Here is a 19,183-nt window from a genome sequence, read left to right on the forward strand (position 1 = left end):
TTCTCCAGGAGGGTTCCACCTCTGTAGCAGACTTCTGCCTGGACTTCCAGACATTTCCATACATTTTTTGAAACCTAGATGGAGGTTCCCAAACCTTACTTCTTGTCTTCTGTGCACCCACAGGCCCAACACCATGTGTAAGCCACTGAGGCTTGGGGTTTGCACCCTCTGAAGCAATGGCCTGAGCTGTATTTTGGCTCATTTTAGCCAGAATTGGAGCTGAAGCAGCTGTGATGCAGGGCACCACGTCCTGAGGCTACATAGAGTAGGGGGCCCATGAAACCATTTTTCCCTCCTAGGTCTCCAGATCTGTGATGAGAGTGGGTGCTGTGAAGTTCTCTGACATGCCCTGGAGGGATTTTCTCCATTGTCTTGGTGATTAACATTTGGCTCTTCATTACTTATGTAAATTTCTACAGCAGGCTTAAATTTCTCTCCATAAAATGAGTTTTTCTTTTTTATTACGTGGTCAGGCTGCAAATTTTCCAAACTTTTACACTCTGCTTTCTCTTCAATGCTTTGTTGCTTAGAAATTTCTTCCACCAGATACCTTAAATCATCTCTCTCAAGTTAAAAGTTCCACAGATCTCTAGGGCAGGGGCAAAATGCCACCAGTCTCTTTGTTAAAGCATAGTAAGAATCACCTTTGCTCCAGTTCCCAATAAGTTCTTCATCTCCCTCTGAGACCACTTCAGCCTGAACTTCATTGTTCACATCACTATTAGCATTTTGTTCAAAACCATTCAACAAGTTTTTAGGAAGTTCCAAACTCCCAACTATTTCTGTTTTCTTCTGAGTCCTCCAAACTGTTTCAATCTCTGCCTGTTACCCAGTTCTAACGTTGATTCCACATTTTCAGGATTCTTTATAGCAGCACCCCACTACCTCAGCACCAATTTACTGTGTTAGTCTGTTCTCATTCTGCTATAAAGAAATATGCAAAACTGGGAAATTTGTAAAGAAAAGAGAAAATTGACTCAAAATTAAATTGACTCAAAGTTCTGCAAGACGGGGAAGGCCTCAGGAAACTTACAATCATGGTGGGAGGCACTCCTTCACAGGGTGGCAGGAGAAAGAATGAGTGCCAATTAAAGGGGTAAGCCTCTCATAAAACCTTCAAATCTCATGAGAGCTCACTCATTATTATGAGAACAGCATGAGAGAAAACACCGATATGATTTAATTATCTCTACCTCATCCCACCCTTAACACATGGTGATTATTACAATTCAAGGAGAGATTTGTGTGGGAACACAGAGCCAAACCATATCAATTCCTAATAAATACGCATATGTTTCTTTGATTGTTAGGAAATATTTATGAATCACACATTCCTGTTGTCTAAGGAGAATCAGGCTTTTAAATTCATCAGGCCTTCCAAATATTAGATAAATCCTATATAGCTTGATTTTTCATTTTAGATTCTTTATTTGTCATAAGAGTGTTCCAATAAATATTGCAGTTGACAATAGGAAATTGTCTAGATAAATATGTTAAGGTCATTCAAAATTCTGAAAGAGACAATTACAGTGAGATTATAGCACAAATGTTCAGCAGGGTTCAGACATGCAAGATAGGCAGTTAAGAGGACAATAGTAAACTTCAAATTTTTATTATTTTCATCTAGAAGATATTATATTATTTTTTATGCCACTTCCCGTCATAAAGAATCAATATGTTGAACCTTGGTCATCAATGAAATCATCAATAAATTTCACAATTATTAAAATGCTAGTGAGGGTTTTACCAGATAGATAATACAGATACAGAAAATCCACTTTTCATTTTAATAAAATTACTTTCCAAAGTCTTCTCCTTACCCTCATAATCTAATATATGTAGGATACTAATTTATATATTGTAGACATTCAATACATAATCATTATTTCAAAAGTAAGGAAATTTACTAATAGTACCAATTTAAATGTGTTTTTCTATAGAAAAACTCCTTTGTATTGCCAAAAATCAGTAATGATTAATCAGTGAGAAATAGAGTCTGGAACATGGGAAGGGAACTATTTTATGCAAAGGGCCTCTCAAGTCACACTGCATAGAAGACTGTGTTGGTGGCCCATGTTGTGAACTCCAAATATCCTAAAGAAAACTAAGTGTTAAAATTTTAGGAATGGGTGGCATAAGTACAAAATATTTATTGAATACCTACCGTTTCCTAAGTGATGAACATACATTGAGAGCTTATTAAACATCCGTCAATGCTCAAAATACCTTACTTGTATTCATTTACATCCTCACATCAATACTAGGTAAGCAGGTACTACGATTTTCACCATTTTACAGAAGACAAAGAGTCGCAAACTAAAGTACTTATCCAAGCTTAACAAGTTTCAAATTCAGGATTTGAATTCAGACTTTTGGTGCCTGAAGATGTGCTCTTAGCCAATAATCAAGTTGCTGCTTATTTGTATAGTCTCATATGAATAAATCTCAAGACACTGTCTGTGTGCAGCTTGAAGAAAGTAACTGATTTTTTCTCTATATATTATTTATTTGTATTGAGGCATAATTTACACACAATATAATTACACATTTTACTATGTAGCTCAATAAAATTCTGCATATATATCCATGTAACTATCATCAAGAGACAATAATAGAACATTTCCCACAATGCCGGAATTTCCTCAGTAAACTAGTACAAGCATAACCACACTAATTTCAATCATACATAAATTAGTCTGCCTATAATATTTACAATATTCAATATTTACAAAACTATTAAGCAGAAAGTATGTAGAATTCCTATAAAATTCCTCTTCTCTCACCCTGTTTCCTGTATTATTAATATCTTTCATTGGTGTGGTAAATATATTGCAATTGAGGAACCAATGTCGATATGTTATTATTAAATAAAGTCCATACTTTCCATTAGGGTTCACTGTGTTGTACAATTCTATGGGTTTATTTCTCCTTACAGTTGATTACATTTGTGTGGAAATATTTTGGGACTCTATTTTGTTCCATCAATTTACGTGTCCATTCTTTCATCAATACCACATTGTCTTAATTACTATAAGTTTACAGCAAGACTTGAAGTAGGGTAGTGTTTATCTTCTGTCTTTGTTCCTCTTCTTCAATATTGTGTTGATTTTTCTGAGTTTTTGCCTTTCCATGTTAACTTTAGAATCAATTTGTCAATATAAACAAACTGACTTGCTGGAATTTTTATTAGAATTTTATTTAATCCATACATCAATTTGGGAAGAATTGACATCCTATAAACTCAGATTTTCCTATCCATGAACATGGTTTTTGTATTAGGGTACTGCTGTCCTAAAAAAACTGAGTTAGGAAGTGTTCCTTCTGCTTCTACTTCTAGAATGGATGGATGGTAGATACATGATATCATTTTACCTTAAATGTTTGGTAGAATTAACCAGTGAGACCATGTGGGCATGGTGATTTCTGTTTTAAAAAAGTTATTAGTATTTTTTCAATTTCTTTAACAAATACTGTCTATTCAGATTATCCATGTGAGTTTTGATAGACTGTGTCTTTCAAGGAATTGTTTTATTTTATCTAAGTTATCAAATTTGTGGGCACAAAATTGTTCATTAATTTCTTTTCTTATTCTTTTTAATCTCCTGGGGTCACTAACAATATCCTTTCTTTTTTCTTGGATAGCTGTGTAAGGTTTTAACAATTTCACCATTTTCTTCAAAAACAGGGTTTTTTTTTTTTTTCGTTTTGCTGATTTTCTCAATTTCTTTCCTGTTTTAAATTGCATCAATTTCTGCTCTGTATTTTATTATTTCTTTCCACCTTCATTCTTTGAATTTGTTATTCTTTTTATAGTTCCATAGAACAGAATCTTAGTTATAGATTTTTGATCTTTTCATTTTATTAATATGTGCATGCAATACTATAAATTTCCAAGTAATTACTGCTTTCAATTCATCTCACAAAATTTCATATGCTGTATTTTATTTTTATTTATTTAAAATATTTTTAATTTCTCTTAAGACTTCTTTGATTCATGTGTTACTTAGAAGTAACTTGGTTAATCTCCAAATAATTTGTGAATTTCCAGCTGTATTTCTGTTTTTGATTTCTAATATAATTCCATTGTTTTCTGACTAGTATACTTTGTATAATGATCATTCTTTTAAATTTACTAAGGTGTTCTTTATGGCCTAGAATGCGGTCTCTATCTTGGTGAATGTTCCATGTGAGCCTGAGAAGAATGTGCATTCTGCTGTTGTTTGATGATATATAATTGATTTCTGGTGTTGTACAATTCAACTATGTTCTTACTCAGCATTGTGCCTGCTGGAACTGTCAATTACTTATAAATGAATGGTGACATCTTCAACCGTGAGTGAATTTATCTATTTATCCTTATAGTTCTATCAATTTTGCTTCACACATTTTGATGTTCTGTTGATAGGTACATCCAAATCTATATTAGACATACACCTACAGATGTACAAATGTAAGAATTATATTATACTTCTCTTCAGAAACTATGTAAGCTAGGACAGAATGAAGTGAAATATTTAAAGAGTAAAAGGAAAAAAACTATCAACCTATAATTTTCTATCCAGTGAAATTCATCTTCAAAAATGAAGAAGAAATAAAAAGTGCCTAGATAAACAAAAATGAAGCATACTTGCCTTATAAGTAATATTAAAATAAGTTATTCAAAGAGAATGAAAATAATATGGGTGAGAAACTTGAAACTACATAAAGAAAAGAACATTGGGGAAGAAATTTGTTCTTCTTGTCTCACCTGTGATAATGTATAGTGTTATTTTAAAGAGAACTTGGATTAATATCTAAATTATTATTCCATATTTTAAGGCAAGCACTAAAATAAATTAATTAAAAATAATTGATAAGAGAGAACAGAAAATAATATTATGTGCAATGTCCAGTTAAAACCAAAGAAAGATTAAAAAATAATGAAAACCAAAATATAAAGAAAGGACAAGAATAATACAAAGAAAATAATTACATACATGGTAGATATTAATCCAACTACATCAATAGTTACTTTAAATGTGAATGTCTAAATATAAAATTAAAAAACAGACTGTCAGAGTAGGTAAGAACAACAAGACAGAACTATATGTTGTCTATAAGAATCCTACTTTAAATATAAAGACACAAATGGATTAAAAGTGAAGGGGGAAGCAAAAAGAACAAAACTGGAAGAATCACATTGCCTCACTTCAAATCATACTACAGAGCTGTAGTAACCAAAACAGTAGGGTACTAGCATAAAAACAGACACATAGACCAATGAAACAGAATAGAAAGCCCAGAAAGAAATCTATACATCTATAGTGAACTCATTTTTGACAGACTCTCCAAGAATATATATTGGGAAAAGGACAATCACTTCAATAAATGATGCTGGGAAGAACTGTATATCCATATGCAGAAGAATGAAACTAGAACCCTATCTCTCACCATATACAAAAATCAAATCAAAATGGATTAAAGACAAATCAAAGAAGCCAAACTATGAAACTACTACAAGAAAATATTGGGAAAACTCTTGAGGGCATTGGTCTGGGAAATTATTTCTTGGGTATATCTTATAAACACAGGCAACCAAAGAAAAAATGGACAAATCGGATTACATCAAGTTAAAAAGCTTTTGCCCAGCAAAAGAAACAATCAAAAAGGGAAAAAACAACCCACAGAATGGGAGAAGATCTTTGCAAACTATCTATCTGACAAGGAATTAATAATTGGAATAAATAAGGAGCTCAAACAACTCTATAGGAATAAAATCTAATAATCTAATTGAAATGGGAAAAAGATCTGAGTAAATATTTTTCAAAAGAAGACAATCAAATGGCAAACAGGTGTATGAAAATTTCTCAACATCATTGATCATCAGAGAAATGAAAATCAAAATGTCAATGACATTATTTCACCCAGTTTAAATGGTTTTTATCCAAAAGACAGGAAAAAAACAAATACTGCCAAGAGTGTGGAAAAATGGGAAACCTCATACACTGTTAGAGAGAGTGTAAATTAGTACAACCACTATGGGGAACAGTTTGGACATTCCTTGAAATACTAAAAATATACATGTCATATGCTCCAGCAATGCCACTGCTGGGTGTCAGTGTATCAGTGATATATCTGCCCTCTCATGTGTTTTGCAGCACTATTCACAGTAGCCAAGATTTGGAAGCAACCTGTGTTTGTCAACAAATAGATAAAGAAAAGGTGGTACATATACACAATGGAGTACTATTCAGCCATAAAAAATAATGAGATCATGTCATTTTGCAACAACATCATTGAAAATTGAGGACATTATGTTAAGTGAAATAAGCCAGGCACAGAAAGAAAAACTTCACAGGTTCTCAATTATTTTGGGGAACTAAAAATTAAAGCAATTTAATCTCATGGAGATAGAAAGTAGAATGATGGTTGCCAGAAGCTGGCAAGGGTAATTGTGGGGTGGGGTGGGAATAGTTAATGGGTACAGACAATAAAGCTAGATAGAATAAATAAGATTTAGTATTTGAAAACACAACAGGGTGACAACAGTCAACAATAATTTGTTGTATATTAAAATAATTAGAAGAGTATAAATGGATTGTTGGTAACACAATGAAAAGGTAAATATTTGAAGTGATAAGATACTCATTTCCTGACATGTATGATTACCATTTATTGTATGCCTGTATCAAAATGTCTCATATATCCACATAAATATATACACCTATTATGTACCTACAAATTTTTTTTAAATGAAGGGGTGAAAAAAGATGTAACATGCTAACACTAACTAAAAGAAAACTGGAGTAGCTTTGTTAATTCTAGACAAAGAAGGATTCAGAGCAATGAAAATTACCAAGAATAAAGAAGGACATTACATAATGATAATGAGATCAATTACCCCATATTTACTTTTAACTAACAGAATATGGTAAAGATAATCAGATATGGCTTTCTTGATTGTGCTATATTACTCCATTTTGCTGGCATATTCTGTTTTCTGGCTTTATAAACTAAGTCACCCATCATAGCCAGTTCAGGGTATGTATTAGTGCATTTTCACACTGCTGTAAAAAATATCCAAGACTGGGTTATTTATAAAGAAAAGAGGCTTAATGGACTCACAGTTCTACATGGCTGGGGAGGCCCCAGGAAACTTACAATCATGGCAGAAGGGGAAGCAGGTACGTCTTACATGGCTGCAGGAGAGAGAGAGTGTGTGTGAAGAAAGAGCAGTCTAACACTTATAAAATCATCAGATCTCATTAGAATTCACTCACTATCATCAGAACAGCATGGGGGAAACTGCCCCCGTGATCTAATCACCTCCCACTCGTTCCCACCCTCGACACATGGAAATTATGGGGATTACAATTTAAGATAAGATTTGGGTGGGGACACAGTGTCAAACCATATCAGGCTGCTATAACAAATTATCATACACTGGGTGGCTTAAACAAGAAACATTTATTTCTCTGCGTTCTGGAGGCTGGGAAATTCAAGATCAAAATGCCAGTAGCTACAGTGTCTGGTGAAGACTCTCTTCCTGGTTTGCAAATGGACATCTTCTCATTGTATTCTCATATAGAGGAGAGCAGGGAGAGCAGAACAAGCTTCTGCCTGTCTCTTTTTTTAATGAGGAAATAATCTCATCATAAGAGATCCACTTTTGTGACCCAAATACCTCTGAAGGGCCCATCTCCAAACACCATCACATTGATCATTATGGTTTCAACAGATAAATTTTGAAAGAAAATAGACTACAGACTGTTTTTGAGAGTAAACAGCCCTGCAACACCATCACATTGGGAAGACCATGTGACAAAGAACTGCATGCAATCACTAGAAACTTTGGGTGGCCACATGAGCTGAGCAGGAAAAAGTAAGCTCTCACGTCAATAATTGCACGAAACTGAATGTTATCAACAACCAAGTGAGTGCTGAAGAGAATCCTGAGGCTTAGGTGAAAACTTAGCCTGGCCAACACCCTAATTACTGCTTTTCATAACATAAGCAGAGGACCTAGTTAAGTAGTGCCACTCTTTTGACCGACAGAAATTGCGAGATAACAAACAAGTATTGTTTTAAGCCACTAAAACTGTGGTAATTTGTTACACACCAATACAAAACAAATACAGCTTGTTTTCAGTTTGGTGATATTGTGAATAAACTGCAATAAATATTTTTATTTATGGTTTTTAGTGGACATACACAGGTATTTTGTTGGGTAAATATCCTTGAATGGAATTTCCAGATCACAGGGAATATTTACATTTAATAGTTACAGTCCCATATTTTACTGAAGAGGTTGTACCAATTGACAGTACCACAAGCCATGAAACAGACATTCAGTTATTTCCCAAACTTGCCAACACTTGACACTGGTAATTCTTTTAATTTTAGCCATTCTGGTACCTATGTACTGGTATATTATTGTGGTCACGAGTTACCTTTTTAGTAAGAATATAAAATGATATAGACCACCCAAAGCATGTATCAAGGACTTTGTTGATATTTATAAATTAGGAAATACAATCTGTACATGCTACAAAAATAGTTCCCATGCATTTTCTTCTCATTTTAAGATCATTGTATTGTGATAATAAAGAGAAAAGCAAAAATCTCTGGTCAGGCACAGTGTTGCACGCCTGTAATCCCAGCACTTTGGGAGGCTGAGGCAAGCAGATCACAAGGTCAAGAGATCCAGACCATCCTGGCCAACATGGTGAAACCCCATCTCTACTAAAAATACAAAAATTAGCTGGGCGTGATGGCATGTGCCTGTAGTCCCAGCTACTTGGGAGGCTGAGGCAGGAGAATCGCTTGAACCCGGGAGGCAGAGGTTGCAGTGAGCTGAGATCGCGCCACTGCACTCCAGCCTGGTAACAGAGTGAGACTGTGTCTCAAAAAAAAAAAAAAACTGTTGATATAAAGATTTTATTTTTTCTTCTTCTTCTTTTCTTTCTTTCTTCCTTTTCTTTTTTTTTCTTTTTTTCTTTTTTTTTTTTTTTTTGATAGTACTGGGGTCTTGCTATGTTACCCAGGCTGGTCTTGAACTCTAGGAGCTCAAACAATCCTGCCTCAGCCTCCCAAAGTCCTAGGATTATAGGCATAAGCCACCATGCCCAGCCAAATACGAACATTTTAAAGAAAGAAAATGTAAAAGAAAAAAAAACGATGAGTAATAATCTAAAAAAAATATTGAAGTAATAAAGTTCGTAAAACAGCTCACAACAGCATCACAAAAGTTTTGTAATACACTAAAGGGCCTTTAGGACACTGCTTTAATCATGTACATTGGAATTAAGATGTCATTATGCATAAGTGACTAGAACAAAACCTTATTAAAACATTATGCCAACTGGCATAATACTAAATGCTGTAGTTGTAACTTGCACAACATATATTCTTGCTTATCTTATTTTACTGTTATAGGCTTTGGAGGTTTCAAGATAAAGAGAAATTAAAAATCTTCCTGCAATAAGCAAGTTTTCTCCTTCTGAAAATGTAGCTTAGCAACTGACCACACCCCATTTAAAAAGAGCAAGGAAGTGAGAGAGAGAGAGAGAGACAGGACAACAAATAGAAAAACGGAAAAGTTTTTTGATATAAAATATAAAAAAGGGAAATATAAATGTACAATAAATATTTTATTACATGATGAATCTTAGTAGTATTCAGGTAAATTATGTTACATTTTATCCATCAGATTGGTAACATTTATTTACTTATTTTTTTGCTGAATAATTTATATAAAGTGTTATATCTGTATATGCGCAAAGTCTATTAACCCAATACAATTTCATTTCACATATTTAGGGCCGAAAATCATATGTACATACAAGAAAACATGTAGACTCATTGCCTGTATCTATTTTTATTAATAATAAGACTAATTTGGAAAAAATACAATGTCAATTAAAAAAAGAATAATTTCCTTCATTATAAAATAAATAGACCTAAGCACTTCATACGTATCTCCATGCTTTATAAAATGTCCCATTGCTATCACAATTCATTATTCCCAGTTCCTCTCTTCAGAGTGCTTTTGGAAAGTAAAATGCCCAGAGAGATATGCTACTAATCACCAAGCAGAAGCAAGACAAAAAAAAAAAACATAAGAGCTGACTATTTATCATAATAATAGGTGTAACTTACATTTACATAGTGCCTAATATGTGCTAGGCATTGTTCTAAACTCTGTGTGTGTGTGTGTGTGTGTGTGTGTGTGTGTGTTTCATTGAGTTCTCAACACAACCAGATAAGGTAAGTACTGTTTTTATCTCTATACTCTCCATTGATAAGAAAACAGAAGTCTAATATTTTGTTAAAGGTCACAGAGGTGGAAGATAGTGGAGTCAGGCTTACTAAATCTGGCAGCCATGCTCTCAACCACTGTTTTCCTTCTTCTTAACTTGATTTGCTATTCATCTATTAATACTATTGTGGCATTTTTAACTGTGTTCTAAACTGAATAGCCTGAGTTTACATTTGTTCTAATTCCCAATGCGTATTGAAAACAACCTCTAATCAAAAGGCACGGATTCTCAAACATGAATAGTATATGAACTATTAGTGCGTATGAACCAGTATAGGTTAAAAATAAGTGAAATGACCAAGAAATCTCCCAAGATTAACAATTATTTAATTGAATAATTTGTATTGTTTGTTTCAAAAGTATGTGACTATTGAAAAAAACACTTTACAATTTCTTATGCTTATAGAATGTTATTTTTAAAACAAAACTGATTCAATAAAAACTGGGAAAGACTGATGATGTTAACTGTTATGAGTTTTTTAAGACAACCTCTATTCACACTCTTTGCCATGTGATGTTTTTGCTCCTCTTAATTAAAGAAAGCTGTCCGTGTGACTTTTTCTGGCAGTGGAATATGGCAAAAGTGGCACAATGGTAGTCCTTAACGTAGGCCTCAAGATGACTCATATATTCCCCTCTTGTATCTTCGCCCTATGAAAAGAATCCATCTATTCTAACCTCGTGGATAGAAATAGAGAAACATGAAGCTGCACTAAATTGCTTCAGCCAAAAGACAGTTGATTTGCAAGTGTTTGAATTCCCAGCATCCAGTAGCCAATTCCCAAATGAAAGCTAAAATCAAATCCAAAGCTACCCTTAGCTAAAACACAGACTTGTAGAATCAGAAGATGAATAATTGTGTATTGTTTTATGCCTCCATATTTTGGGATGGGTAATCATGTAGCATGACCATGGCACTGTGTAATTAATTCAGAAATTGATGCCTATACTTGGTGTGCTGTCATATAAATAAAACATAAAGTATGTGAATTCGTGTACTGGACTACAAGTGAGCAGAGGCTGAAAAAATGATAAAGAAATTGGACAGGATGGAAAACTGTCAAAGTATGTTATGGATTGATAACTTATACTGGCAGTAACTGGGAAGATATAAAGTTTACCCAATGAATATTACTTGTGATGATCTGATATTGGACCTAAGCCACCAATGTTTGGTTTAAGAGAAAGATTTAGACTGACGTCTGGCTCCATATTTATCTGTTTATGAATTTGATTCCAACAACACAAATGCAAAGAACAATACTTTAAACAAATATGTACAGGATACATTAATAATTTTAACAGTACTTTAGTAGAAAAATCTGACCCCCATCTTTAGTAAAATGAGAGTGTAGAATGCTTAAGTGGCAATTTTAATGAGGCTTCATTGAATAACCCTATGATGTTCTCACGTTGTATTTGACAACAGTTTACCATTCCAGTGCTGTTCATATCTGTATTAAATGGTTATCCATTGTATTTATTGTTAGATTCTGAAAGAAGACAATTATTTCTCATTATACATTTATTCCTGATCAACTGTGTAGTACTAATTGTTGTGAGTACGTAATTACAGGGATAGAATCATTTTAGACTGACAATAATGAACTCCTCTCTTTGGAACAGATCCTTTTGTGTCTGACAACTTTCAGTAGCGTGTGCCACCTGATGACTCGTGAGTCATACCACCCTTGTCCATTCAATCTACAAAACCTTTCATACTGAAACCTTGTTATCATTGAATTGTCAATTTGCTGGAACACATTCATTTAACAACAACAACAAAAAGAATTAAAGTGTTTCCATCACCATCACTGTGCTGTGATAGACTAATTGGTAGTAATAATTATTCCCTCACCATGCCCTGTTTGTAAATGTTCAGTCACTTTCACTGAGGTTTAAGGCACATTTATGACACTTACTTTTCAACTTGACCATGTAACTAGCTTTGGACAAAGGGATGTTAGCAGAGATGGCATAAGCAGGGTCTTAAAAGTTGCTTTTAAGATTGTACTTTCTCTCTTATGTTTCTGCATTGCATTGATCAGCAGCTGCTCCTTCACCTTGGAACCCAGAGTTAACACAGGTGGAACAAATTTGCTTTAGCCTACCCACAGACATATAAGAATTATACGCTTAGTTTTGAATGCCACTGAATTATTATGGCATTATTGTCTGTTACACACTAATTGCCTATTAATATAGTAGTAAGCCAGACAACCCAGAAAATAATTATGCTAATTTTTGTTGCTTGTCTTTAAGCTTGAACTGAAAATTTGTGAAAGTGTAGAGATCATTCCCCATCGTAAGTATAGAGATTCTTGATGGCGACGAGATAGCCAGGTGGGAGGGGGTCCCTGGCAAAACTCCACCTGGCCTGCACACTGAGAATAAGCACTGGGGTGGAGCCACAGAAGTTCGCGTCGTTCGCAGCAGGGAGGAGCCTGGCCTGTCTTCTATCCCTGTGGAACCTGGGATTCAAGCTGTGAGGCTGGAAGTACTCTTAGCAGGAATTCTGGCTTTGTGGAGAGTCCCTGTTTCCTCCTTTTCACCCAATAAAACCTTGTCTTACCATTCAAATTGTCTGCGAGCCTGAATTTTCATGGCCGTGGGACAACAACCCTGTCTTTAGCTGAACTAAGGAAAAGTCCTGCAACAGCCAAGAGAGGGGTGTAGCTCTTTACAGGCATCATTGTAAGGGTTCCTGACTTAAGTTCACCCAAGCGTATTTTTGACTTTTTCAACCTGAAAAAGTTTAATAAACTTAGTGTTAGTGTTGGGGAGAAAGCCTTGTCCTGGATGGATGGATGGATGGATGGATGGATGGATGGATGGATGGATGAATGACACTAATGAACTAGTGTGGCTATTCATTTTTTTATTATTATTGCCAGAGGGCAATTTGAAGAAAAGATGAATTTGACTACAAAGTATACTGGGGGCATGAGACCAATACACTGGTAAGAAATATATTTACACCTTTTTACATGTTTTTGGTTAGGTTCCCCAAGAAGCGAATTTTTGGAGTCTATTCCCCTTGCCCTTGGATTATCTTTATCAAATAAAGTAAACCTTTACAATATGTATTTATGTATTCTCCAGAAGTTTATTGAATGACCTGTGGTACCTTTTGAAACTTAGTCTTCTATCATATTGTATATGTTCAACCTCTTAAACCTCTAAAACTCTTCACCTAGAGCACAAGAAGTATATCTTACTTTTGGAACTTAGTAGTGCTCAGGAAATGTGGGATGACTTAAGTTAAACAGAGTTAAATAATTGAATTGAAAATTTTGGAGCAGTTGCTATACCAGTATGGCCAGCAGTTGAGGACTGATATTGAATAGGAATGAAAAGGGGAATTGGAAAGTATTTTGATATATTATCATAGAGACAAAAAAAACTCAGTAAATGTTTTGAAAGTTGTAATACATAAGTTTAAAAACAAACAAAAATAATAGGAAAGTGGCACAGTCATTAGTCTGGCGACAATATGCCTAATTATTGAGGGAGTTGAGAGATAGGTCGTAGGGGCACCAAGTAGGAATTTATAATAGCCGTTTAGATATAATGTAACTATTGGCCGGGGGCGGTGGTTCACACCTGTAATCCCAGCACTTTGGGATGCGGAGGTGGGCAGATCACCTGAGGTCAGGAGTTCGAGACCAGCCTGACCAACATGGTGAAACCCCGTCTCTACTACAAATACAAAAATTATCCAGGCCTGGTGGTGTGTCCCTGTAATCCCAACTACTTAAGAGGCTGAGGCAGGAGAATCACTTGAACTCAGGAGGCAGAAGTTGCACTGAGCCGAGATTGCGCCACTACACTCCAGCCTGAGAGACAAGGGCGAAACTTCATCTCAAAAAAAAAAAATAGAGATAACTATCAACAATATTCAAGATTTCTGCAGCAAGTCTACCACATTTAACCCAACTTAAGAAGATTAATAAGAGGACTATATACACATTTTTGGAAATGATCCAAAGAAACCAATAACTAATAGTGCTACCCCTAGCAGCCAGTCACAGTGCAGGGAGTGGTGATTACTATGTCTAGATATGAAGGGACAGAGCAAAGTTGGATTTGTAGGGACCCAAACCTAAATAGGGCAGCTATATGAGGAATAAGCTGTGGCCTCCAAGGGGCACAGTCAATCCTTAGCAACCTGACACTGTCCTCCCACCCTATGATCTCTGCAGGTAATTCCCATCTGCTAAGCAGAACAGAACCTACATTGAAATGAGACCCACTGTCACAATGCATAGTGAACTAGGATTAAAGCAAGGTGGAAAACAGTGAGAGTGGTTCAGAAGGGGCAAAGGAAAAATGTCTAGCACATTCTCTAGAAACAAAATGTGCTTTAGATACAAGATACTAGGAAATACCCAGGAGGGAGTGGGAAATGTATCCATGTTGCTCTTTCCTCAACCAAATAACAGTTACTGAAGTCTGTGAGTTTCCCTTAAGCGAGTTTGTGCTTAAAAATAAACAAACAGCACCCACCACCAACAAATTTTTGGACTAGCATTTACTTGTCTCATGCCATTCTACCCAGCCTGTTTGTGGAATCAGTGGTTCTGGCCATAAGATCTAGACCATAATTGGAAATTTGACAGACTAGTTTAGAAACTTTTTGTAACCATTTTCTCCATACCTCTGAAAACAGAAAGTCTTGCTGTAAGTTACTAATTTGAAATCTGACTTATTATTGTAAAGATTACATCAAAGACTTTTAATTGTCTCAGCAAAGAATTTGATATGTAAAAAAAAACTTGATAGAGACAATAGGGAAAAATATTACCTTTAAATTTATAACTAGTTTTAGGCTAAGTTCAAACTTGCATCATTATCACATCCTTGCTTTAGACAGAATGAACATCCTGCAAGTAAATATGGTATTTTAACTGAGAGTCTGGGATTCTTCAGTTTGGGAAAAGTAGAAGCCTGAGGTCATTCGCTGTCTTCTAAGGACAGAAAAAAATTCCATTCTTTTCCAAGTTTATTAGCAGTTTAACTGAAAATCCACATTCTTTCTTTCTAACTATATCATTTGTTGCTTCAGAGATGTGATTGATGTGTTGATTTAGAGATGTGCTTTAGAGATTGCTATATCTAGCAATTAAACTTCTACTAATTACATATATCATTTTTGTTAAGCCAGTAAACTCTCAAAGTATCAAAGAGCAGTATGGTAGCATGGTTAGTGGTAAAGAATATGGAGCTGGGTGGATCAGGGTATCAATTCCTCTTTTCCACTCACCAGTTGATTAACCTACAATAGTTTACTTAAGCAGTCTTATCTCAGTTCTTCATCCATAAAAATGAAGGAAATGATAGTGATGGCTCCATGACAGATTAAATAAAACATGCCAAATGCTTAATACAGTATCTAACTAATAGATTTTACTCAATAAATATGAACTGAGTGGCTAAAATATGATATGGGACACCTCTTATACTTTCATAACTTTTGTTGTGTAAAATAAATACTTTCCCACTGAGAAATGTTGATGTGAACATATGTATGGGTATACTGAACCCTGTATTTTGTTACTTACACATCACCTATCAAAATATTGTGACCAACCACATGTTTTTGCTGCTAGTTTCTGACCCCTAAATTAGTAATTAGTTATTATTTTTAAAAAGCTGTACTATATTTTACATACCATAATATCCACCTATTTTAAGTGTATGCAGTCTGATAACTCTTAAGATTTTACAATCTTGCAACCACGGTCATTTCATGTTATAATATCTCTGGCATTCTAGAAAGTGTCGTCGTGCTCCTTTGCAGTCAATCTCCTTCTCACCCCTGACACCTTGAAAGAACTATCTGGTCTCTATATTTTTTTATTTTCTTTCTTTTTTTTTTTTTTCTTTTTTTTTTTCTTTTTTTTTTTTTTTTTGAGACGGAGTCTTGCTCTGTCGCCAGGCTGGAGTGCAGTGGCACTGTCTCGGCTTATTGCAACCCCCACCACCCGGGTTCAAGCGATTCTCCTACCTCAGCCTCCCAAGTAGCTGGGAGTACAGGTGAGTGCCACCACGCCCAGCTAATTTTTATTTTTAGTAGAGATGGGGCTTCACTGTGTTAGCCAGGATGGTCTCGATTGCCTGACCTCGTGATCCGTCCGCCTCAGTCTCCCAAAGTGCTGGGATTAGAGGCATGAGCCACCGCACTTGGCTAGTTTTTTTTTTTTGGTTGTTTTTTTTTTGAGACGGAGGCTCGCTCTGTTGCCCAGGCTGGAGTGCAGTGGCGCGATCTCGGCTCACTGCAAGCTCCACCTCCCGAGTTCACGCCATTCTTCTGTCTCAGCCTCCCGCGTAGCTGGGACTGCAGGCGCCCGCCACCACGCCCGGCTAATTTTTTGTATTTTTAGTAGAGACGGGGTTTCATCGTGTTAGCCAGGATGGTCTCGATCTCTTGACCCCGTGATCCACCCACCTCGGCCTCCCAAAGTGCTGGGATTACAGGCGTGAGCCACTGCGCCCGGCCAGCGAGTTGTTTTTTTTTTTTTTTCTATGAATTTTATGTAAATTGAATAACCTTATAATCACCTAATGATTTTGGCAGTGGTTGTATTCATACACTTCAAACCCATGAGGTTTTTAACCAGTATTGATCAAGTTGTGGATCCACTGAAAAAAACCCTTTTAATTGTAGCCAGTATTCAGTTTTTTCTTTTTAAAATTTTTTTCACAATACATTCTCCTATTTTTTTCATGCATGCGGATTTCAGTAGTAATCTAAGCATATGAGGAGAGTTTATTTCAGACCTTTACATCTAACTTTACAGTCTAGCTGTTAAATTTTTGGTTAATATGCTTTGCCTCGTGAACTGGAATACAAACTTGAACTAATAAAACTTTTTATTTTCTCTGTTGATTTTGAGCCAAGATCACCACTTTTAGTTGGCCACACTCCCATCTCCCTATCACAGACTCTAGTCTAGGAGAGCTGTAATTTTGGCTGACCATGCCAAGGAGGTACATGAGAGGAAGGCAAACTCTCAATATTTTCCTCAAAGCTGTAGCCTTTTTTTTAAAAAAAAAAAAACAACAGCAAATGCTTCTCAATTTATCTGACTTTGATCCAATCCAAGGACACTAAACTCGTTGCTTTCTGGCAGTTATATGCAATTTTATAATTGTTTTATTCAGAGGGATATTGCTTTACTTATTCATGCTACCATTTTTAGAATTCCAGTCTGTTGGAGGAGGTGTTTCCTTAGGTGGTGGTTACAGATTGTGGAAAAGTCTTTATAATATTAGTCCTTTGAAAAGTTGCCTTCTCAATTTTTCTCTGGTCCAGGAATGTTTGACCATTTGCACTTATTTCATGAATTTTGCTGTTCAATGCAAGAATAAAGGGATGTGTTTAAAATATATGAAACAATGGGGCATGTTTTTATGTGTCTTTTTCTGTTTAAAAGTGTTTATAAGACTATTTGAAGGTTTGCTATGTCTATTACCACCTACAGTTTTCAAGTCTTGTTCACTTAAAAAAAAAATCTTCTAATAAGCATTTTGCCACTTTTCTTGGCTTGCTGTTTTATAGTATTTTCACGTGCTTTAGGGGAATTAATATAAATAAACAAAATGAAGCTAACAAATGAAGCTACAATTGCATCCTGAGTAAAATAAATTACATTTTTTTCATCATCCTGAATTACAGAAATGATAAGAATTTTACAGATATTTTTCTTTTTTGCTTTTTATATTAAACTCCTGTCACCTGAGATAAACTGAATATATCTGATTGTACTTTAATCAATTTTAATTTCTAAGAAAAAGTTTAGATTCAGGAAATGGAAAGAGAAATAGAGGAAGAAACTAGAAGAGAGAAAAATGGACAGAACCTCATGTATGATAAGGAGAGTCATGTAGTTAATGCTATGGCAGTCAAAAGCCTTTATGAACACATATGGATGAAAAGGTAAGAGAAGACATAAAAAGAAGGCTGAAGGTTTTAAAGGAATATGGAGCATGTTTTGCAGGTTATTGAAGACTTCTGGTGACAACAACCTTAAAGTTGCTCATACACTTAATCTACATTGAAAGTGTTTATTATATCCTGAAAACCAAAAAACATGACGTGCGATATGTGCGCATCGTACAACCTTTCCCTCCTGCCTTTGAATTGACTTATTTTTTCATATATATAGATGAGATAATATATGTCTTTATTGTGGGAACCTCTTTATTATAAAAAATTTCACAAACAAAGCAGAGATTAGTCCAACAAAACTTAATAAATCCATTACACAACTTTAAGTGGTTTAACTCAGGGCCAGTCTCATTTTATCTGCATTCCCATCTACTTCTTCTCCCTCTTCCTGGATTAGTTTGAGACAAAGCCAAGGGAGAAGAAACTTTATGTTTTATTCATTATTATTTAACTATGTATGTTTTAATATGACTTTTATATAATTTAATTTTAATTATTAAGTCTAAAAATTTTACATTATCTTAGTATTATATGATATCCAGCAGTTGTTGTATTTATGTGGACACTTTACCAAGTCCTTTAAAAATAATTCACAAAGCCATCCCTCCATGACTTAGAGGAGTCAAAAAGATAATGTAGAGGCTTTGTGATAACATATTTAATATATTGTTATTGATGGTAAATTCAATTGCTTATAGAAGTTTCTATTATCACCGGTTCAATTTACATTCTAGATTTATATGTTCCCCATTTAAATGAAAAATCAAACATCACAAAATTTTAAGGGATTATTTTTCTGTATCATCCAAGCTCCACCAAAATCTATAAATGTAGACCTTACTTGGCATGTTTACTAAATTATTTTATATTTACATTAAGCAATGATTTTTATGCTTATCATGCACTATGAGTTGCATGCATTCTTTGGCTTCCTT

This window comes from Homo sapiens, chromosome 4 (genome assembly GCF_000001405.40).
Source record: "Homo sapiens chromosome 4, GRCh38.p14 Primary Assembly".
Lineage (NCBI taxonomy): Eukaryota > Metazoa > Chordata > Mammalia > Primates > Hominidae > Homo > Homo sapiens.